An 8,691-nucleotide genomic window follows, 5' to 3' on the forward strand; every position below is an offset into this window, starting at 1 on the left:
TAAGAGTAGTAATGAAATCGCATTTCTTAGCATTTTATGACATAGAGATTATATGACCTTCTCTGAGTAAGAAAGGGAGAAATATATTGTAAAAAATAAGGAAGTTTATAGGTCCTAAACAATAATTCTCAGTTCGTGTCATGCAGTAAAGTAGTTCTGACATAAATAAATTTGAGAAATATTCCATATACTATCCTCCACCTTGAGTATTCATCATTCACAGTAGCAAATAAAAAACTCTCAAATATTGTACAGTAAATGCATTTGTTAAACTTTATTTAACGCAGCGTTTACAAAATTCAGGTGTGTTCTATAGAACACTAATTCTTCTGCTTTCTAATACATTATGTAGGAAGCAACAATTCTGTGGTCAAGTAAGTCTGAGTGTTAATGGGTTATGGTTTAAATAAAGCTTAATAGTTTTCTTCACTGCAGTATTGAACTTAAATTTGCTATCTTTTCCAGGATATTGTATGTTTCTATATGAATGAGTATTGTATTAACACTTTTAAAGTCACATTATTTCCCCTGTTAATACCTAAAATTAACTAGAATAACTACATTACAAAATGAAGGTTCAACAGCTAAGTTAAGCTATGCCATAGGGACAGGCACTTTCTTATACTTCTGGAGTTTCATTGAAGGCATTTGTAGCCATAAACATAGAAGACAAGGATGGGTGTTTTGAAGTATGCAGCAGAACCTTTCAAGATAAGGGTTTCTTGGGAGACATTAGTTTAAGAGTATATGACCCTTCTCATGAAACATCTCTAAAAATGGCATTTCCAGCATCCCTAGTATTCATCCAATCTCACAGGAGAGTCATATATCTAGTAGTTGCTGCCTTCTACAAATCTGCACAATAGTAATAGAGTCAGAGTAGGACACAACAAAATAAATAAAAATGCGCTTGCTTAATTCAGTCGTTGCAACAAGAAATGTGATGAAACAATCTAAATGTAAGGGCTGATCTCTGAACAACTATTGAGATTTCAGTACAGTTAGTATACCAAAACAGACACTGCAAATGACCAGTTTATGTGAACTAGCATAAGATACATAAATATGTAACAGAGACAGTGGGAAAAAAGATCCTTATGATTAAAATAAAATCAGAGATACCGAAACAGCCATTTCATAATAGAGGCTTGATTAAGACTTACCTCAGTATGTCGATATGTCAGTAAATATAATATGATGATATATCAGTAAATATAGTCAAACTAGTTTCAATATAGAGACTTTAATGTGGTTTCATTAATGCTATCTTTCGGAGAGTGACAAAAGTAGGAAGAGTTAAGTAACAAAGAAGCTACAGATCTTTTTACCTTGTTTTATAGTTTTGATTTTTTTACATAAACTATAAAAACAATTTTTTTAAAAACAAAATCATTCATCAATTTGGTGGCATACCATTTAAACAAAAATTTTTAAAATGATTTTAAAATACAGGATTTTAACTGGACTTGTTAGTGGTTTATGCCTAAAGGATAAAACTAGCATCACAGAAATTTGAAATTGAATTAGTCATTGTTAGTAAAAATACTGGTTTTGAGTGAATATATATATTAAAGTAGAAAATACTGGTAACATTAAAAATCATGTAATCAATATTTGAAGAGTAAAAGAAAATAAACACAAACATAAAATATAAAAGATTAAATCCCAGTAATCTTTATTTTAATTTAGAAATATCAGTAGATACTCATGATTAATTTTTCTTTAAAAAAATCACATTTCTTAGTTCTCTTCATTGAAAAGGTCTAAAAGCAACGTAACACAGAAGCAATCAGCTCTAAAACCAATATTTTGGTATCTGCATACCATTCCTTACTAAAATAAACAGGTTCCTTTGAGAAATAACTGTTTCCAGATCTGGAGGAAGGAAATATATAAAATGAGCATGAGGTATCAAAGACTACTGAGATTATCTCAAAAGGACATAGAAACCAACTTGAAGCAGCTCTCAACAGCCAAATATAAAACAATTAGGATATTAATGAGAATTATGATTGCAATGAAATGAAACATAAAATACAAAAAAATCCATAAGTTCATAATCAGCTTTTAAAAATACGCATAGATCACCTTTAGATAACTTTTTCTGGAATAATCCCAGGTTACAATTGTTGTCTTAGGATAATTATTAATATAACTTCATTTTACTCGTAAGTGTCACAGTTTGGAGATTAAGTTATATGATTACCCTACCATTGTAGAGTGCTGGTGTGATAACTCATTCTGCAAATTGGCAAATAAAATAAAAAAGAAATTATAATACCTTATAAAACTGTTTCAAGGTAGCCAAGTATTTGATAAGGGTAATTTCTTCTATAGAAGTAGTTCAACTCATAAAGCAAAAATAATCATAGAGCTATAAAATTATTATTTTATTTTATTTTTTATTTATTTAGTTTTTTATTATACTCTAAGTTTTAGGGTACATGTGCACAACGTGCAGGGTAGTTACATATGTATACATGTGCTATGTTGGTGTGCTGCACCCATTAACTCGTCATTTAACATTAGGTATATCTCCTAATGCTATCACTCCCCCCTCCCCCCACCCCACAACAGGCTCTGGTGTGTGATGTTCCCCTTCCTGTGTCCATGTGTTCTCATTGTTCAATTCCCATCTATGAGTGAGAACATGCGGTGCTTGATTTTCTGTCCTTGAGATAGTTTGCTGAAAATGATGGTTTCCAGGTTCATCCATGACAAAGGACATGAACTCATCCTTTTTTATGGCTGCATAGTATTCCGTGGTGTATATGCGCCACATTTTCTTAATCCAGTCTATCATTGTTGGACATTTGGCTTGGTTCCAAGTCTTTGCTATTGTGAATAATGCTGCAATAAACATACGTGTGCATGTGTCTTTATAGCAGCATGTAAAATCATTATTTTATAAGCCCTAATTTAACAATGGATCTGGAGAACAATTCATACTAGATGTTTTAAAAATACATGAAATGTTGCTACTAAGCCTTATAATGGGTAGATGGACTGACAACTGAAAACACTGATCTCTCTTAGGAAAACCAGACTATATGGGCTCTTGATTCAATATTAAAGAAATCTACCATGCCACCTACAAATCATTCTTGCTAAAATTTGAATGTGACTATGCAAGTTTTAGACTCAATTACAAGAAATATAAAGACAAGAGAAACATATTGAATAACAGCAATAAAATGCAATCTGCCAAATATAGATTGTGGGAATATGCTACAGGATGGTTAGCCCAATTCCTTAAATAAACTATGGCTTGAACAAAAAATGTCTCTGTATGTGTGTGGGAACTGCTATGCTGTTATAGATCAAAAAATATTTAAGAGTGAAACCAACCCAGTAGTCCCATAGACTATTCTTTTTGATAAACACAGAAATTGACTCTTTCAGTCTTAGAGCTTGAAACTTATATTTGTTTTATCAGAGTTCCTTCCTCAGGACAGGACCTACAGGCCTCTCAAAAAAGTATCAAAGAACTGAAACTCACCAGATCACCACAGCAGATGCCACCCCTCATTCATCACGATTGCTTCCTTGCTCCTCCCTAGTTCTTGTTTTCTTACATATTATTACATTTCCTCCCTGCTGTGTAAACCCCTAGTTTTAGCCAGATAAACGGGGAAATATACTTCAAAAAAGAAAGAAGTATAAAGACTATCTTAGATAAACAAAATCCGAGGGCATTTATTGGCAGCAAAACTAGTCTACACAAAATATTAAACAAAGTTCTTTAGGCAAAATAATTTTATATCAGAGAGAAACATCAATCTATGTAAAAAAATTGAAGAGCCCCAGAAGTGAAATAAATGAAAATATAATAAAATTGATTTATTATTTTAATTTCTTTAAATAACTCAAAATACAAAACTATCAAAGTATCGTGCATATGTGAAATAAATGTATGTAACAATAGGACAAAAAATGGAAAAGAGGAATTGGGAGGAGACTGCTGAAAGTTCCTTGCAATACATGTAAAGTGTGGATATTATTTCAATGCCGATTCTGATTTTTAAAAAAGATAATAAATCAATATAAATAAAATGAAATCATAAAAGTGCTCAACATGAGAAGTCAGAAAAAAGTATAAAACAATAGGTGGAACAAATAGAAAACAGGTAAAGAGATTTTAATTCAACCATATTAAATAAAATTTAAATCCAATCATACTGAATTTGAACAATCCAAATATACCAGTTGAGAGACAGATACTGTAAGATTGAATAATAATGGTACAACCCAGTCATATGCTGTCTGAAAGAAATTCATTTTAAACATAAAGGCACAGGTTAATAATAAAAAGACATAAAAATATATGCCATGCACAAAAGTTATACCATGGAGCACACACTAACCAAAATACTGTTATTAGACAAAATATACCTAAACCAAAGAATATTATAATAAAGTGGAACATTACTTAAATATAAAATTGCTCAATTTTCCAAGAGATAAGTCTCAAACGTGTGCATCTAGCAATCGAGCTTCAACATACAAGAAGGGAAAACTCTTAGAACAGAAATAGTTAAATCCCCAAATACAGTTGAAGCCTTCAACATTCCTCAAGCAGTAATTGACATAACAACTAGTGAAAATATAGAATACCTGAAAACATTATCAACCAACTTGACGTAATTGACATTTTTATAACATCCTACCCAACAACAGCTGAATACACGTTTTTTTCAAAGTGTATATGGAACATTCACCATGGCAGTCCATATTCTGGGCCATAATATAAACCTCAACAAATTTAAGAGAACAGAAATAATATAAAGTATATTCATGATCTATAACATAACAAAATTAAATTAGAAATCTGCAATGGAAAGATATCTGTAATATTCTCCCCAAATATTTGGAAAATCAACAACTCACATTCAATAGCCCATTGGTCAATGAAGATGACTCAAGGTAAATTAAATAATACTTTAACCAAATGAAAATAAATACCACATAATACTTTAGCGGTATATAGCTACAGAAGTGCTTAGAGAACGTCAAAAAACATGAAATGTTTATAGTAGTAAAGAAGAAAAGTATTAAATCAGTTATCTAAGCTGCTACTTTAAAGAAGTACCAATAAAATAAAATTAAATCTAGAGCAAGTAGAAGAAAGGAATTATAAAAAGAACAAAGTATCAAAACATCACATTGCACTGTGTTCTTTTTATAATTGCTTTCTTCTGCTTGCTCTAGATTCAGCTCTTCTTTCATTGTCAGTTTTTTAGAGCAGCAGCTTCTACTCTATACATGTAATACATAATGCAATACAATTATGATTTGTCAATTAAAATAATGTTTAAAAAGGTAACTATGTAAGGTGATGGAGGTGTTAATTAGGTTAATAGTGACAATCATTTCACAATGCATACGTATATGAAAACATCACATTGTACACCTTGAATATACACAATTTTTATTTGTCATTTATACCTCAGTCAGTATGAAAAAGTTTAAAAGAAGAACAGAAAGAAATGAAATTGAAAACAGAAAACAATAGAGAAAATTAATGAAACAAAATTGATTCTTTAAGAAATACAATGAAATTGATAGGAACTTTAGGCATTTTGATCTAGAATAAAAAAGAGAACATATAGGTTACTAATGTTGGGAATAAAAGAAGGATATCACCATGGAACTTACAGATATGAAAGGAATAATCAGGTAATACTGTGAATAATCAAAGACATTAAAAGGAACGAAAACTATAGAACCATATCTCTCATGATCATATGCAAAAAAATTCTCAGCTAAATATTAGCAAGCTAAATTCAACAACATATAAAAACTAAGTGAAGGTTATCTCAGGAATGCAAGGGTGGTTTAACATTTGATAATAAATCAATATAATTCACAATATTATCAGACTAAAAAAGAAAAACCACATTACCATCTTAACAAACGCAAAAATATTGATAAATCAACATTTATTTATGATTTTTATTTTAAAAAACTATTAGAAAACTAAGGATAGAAGAACACTCCTTTGACTGATAAAGGGTGTCAAATATAAAGATAACATCATACTTAATTGTAAGACACCACATGCTTTCCCGCAACATTGTGGTGTTAAAAAAAGGCTTGGCTATTGTCTTACAACTCTTACTCAACATCATTCCAGAAGACCTATCCATTGTGCAATAAGGAAAAAGAAAGACACTCTGATTTAGATTAGAAAGAAATAAAATTATCTCATTTGCAGATGACATAATTGTGTAACTAGAAAAATCCCAAAAAACTTAACAAAAATCTCCTAGAACATGTAAGTTCATTCAGCAAGTTTGCTGGATATGTTAATATATAAAATTGATTTTGTATTTATACAGTCACTATGAACAGCTAGAAACTCAATTTTTAAAATTTGTCCTTAAGCATGTGTACAATTGATGAAAATTCTTGTTAGGATATTCCCACATTAAAATTTTTTTCTTTTTTAAGGTCAAATAGTATTCTATTGTATATATATACCCCATTAGCTTTATCCATTTATCTGTTGACGGACACAGATTAATTCCATATCTTGTCTATTGTAAATAATGCTTCAATAAACATTGGAGTGCAGATATCTCTTTGACATACTGATTTTATTTCCTTTGATATATTCCCAGTAGTGAGATTGCTAGATCATATGGTAGTTCTGTTTTGAGGGGCCCTCATACTCTTTTCCGTAATAGCTGAACTAATTTATACACCCACCAATAGGGTGCAAGTGTTCTTTTTTCTCTACATCCTCCCCAACTCTTGTTACCTTTTGTCTTTTTGGTAATAGACATTCTAATAAGTAGAAGATGATATCTTGTGGTTTTGAACTTTTTTTAAATGGCAATGAAGAAACCAAAGTCACTGCTTGGAAGTATGTCTAAGTCAATGCCTAGTATCTTATGAACTCAGCCTCCTTACCAGCTGCCCCACAGATATTTGGATCAAGGTAATATGTGGAAGGGTCAAAATGTTTCCAAAACACTTGTTGCTGAAAGGTTTTACCGTCAGTTTTATTTTCAGATTGCATACTATTTGATCAGTAACTATATTTATATTCCTTTCTGTAGATCTGAAATTGTCAAATGTTTCATTATGAAGTTTATCTATAGAGCTTACTTATTAAATGTCCAATAAAAATAACCACTCATATGGGAAATTTAACTTTATTCATGTTTTCAGGTTAAATGTGCACACTGACAGGCCTTCTCCTGTCCTGAAAGAACTCTTAACCAATACAGCCACAGATAGGAATCCCAGCTCCACCAGGTACTTACCGTGTGACCAAGTCTTGACGTAACTTTACCTTGTGAATTTCCTTGTCTGCTTCTTGTTGTTTCAAGAGGCAACTTAGCAGCAATGTGTCAACATCAGGATATTAACATCTCTTGTAATTTTCCTATGTTGCCTAACTCCAACTAATGCCAATGATATTATAATTCCAGGATCAGAACAGATTATCATATCAGACTCACCAGTTTAATACACAGTTGTATTGTTCATTTATTGATGACTTACAGAATCATATCCAACATTTATCTGATAGATAAATGAAAAAAAAAAGTTTTATAGCAACATCCCATGTGTACCTTAACTTCTCAGCAAGTAATTTTTCTTCTTGATGTTTATTTCATTTTACCTGCAAATGTGTTATTTTTCTTTATTGTGTATGTGTGTGCTTAAAAAACTTAAATTACGTACAATTGTCAATTATATAACTGGCTAAAAAAGTGGAAAATTCAATGAATCCTTTTTTTAATGTCAGCAAATGGTATAATTTGTGTTTTATACTGAATTGTTGAAATTGATCTCTTTGACAGTAAAGCAAATGTTGCTATTGTTTTGACAGTATAAAGCAAAGCAATATGAAAGCTGAATATATTTAAAGAAACTCTTAAAAATTGAATCCACACAGAATGCATATTAAAAATGAATATTTCATAGGGAATTTTTGTATAATTATTTTCATCCAAGTTCTCTGAAATTTTTTATGAGATGGTACTTCTGAAAGAATATTACACCAAAAACCAACCTAAAATCAACTTCACACTCTATAAGTTAGATACACTTATTTGAAGTGAAATCTCATTTCTAAATTCCTACAAGAATTTTTGCTGAGCTTTATTATTGTAGAACTTCTATATCACTTCTAGAAACCATAAATGTGCATGACACACACGTGTATATATTGCATATAATTTGTGGATCTCATATACATGTGATTTTCTTAGAGCCAGTCCTCAAAAGGAAAGTCTCTTAGTCACTGTGATGTGTTTGGTTTCTTCTATGTGTATACTTAACAAGTCTATAAGAGAATTCACCCACAGAAACACCCACACAAAGACATTCAATGAAAGTAACTCAGAAGGTAAGACAAACCAAGTGCATTTTTGAAGTTTTATGCACACACATATTTATACATACATATATACACACATATGAATATTTATATATACACATAAAGAAAGTTTGAGGATTTGTTTTCTTTGTTAACAGTGGTTTATAGACTACATATCAAATACCAGAATCTGTGATAAGTATTCTATATTGTTTTTCATTTAGCCCTAACACAAAAATCTCTTAGGTTGGCATTAAAAGTATGGGTACATGTAAAAGTTCCCTTACTTTTACAATGTGGTATGATAAATATTAACATATTCTCTGTAATGTTCTATAGAGAGGAAGTTGAGGTATAAAGGT

The 8,691-nt window shown here is 30.7% G+C and overlaps 1 long non-coding RNA gene across 1 annotated transcript in view; it reads left to right on the top strand.

The window, feature by feature from the left end:
* The window catches only part of LOC105375371 (uncharacterized), a 71,222-nt gene extending 63,954 nt beyond the window's left edge, over positions 1 to 7,268 (top strand). The window contains exon 3 of the long non-coding RNA XR_927707.3: positions 7,174 to 7,268. This is a non-coding gene — a long non-coding RNA (uncharacterized LOC105375371). The remainder of the gene's footprint in view (positions 1 to 7,173) is intronic.
* The last annotated feature ends 1,423 nt before the right edge of the window (positions 7,269 to 8,691 follow it).

The sequence above is a fragment of the Homo sapiens genome, chromosome 7 (assembly GCF_000001405.40).
Source record: "Homo sapiens chromosome 7, GRCh38.p14 Primary Assembly".
Taxonomy (NCBI): Eukaryota; Metazoa; Chordata; class Mammalia; order Primates; family Hominidae; genus Homo; species Homo sapiens.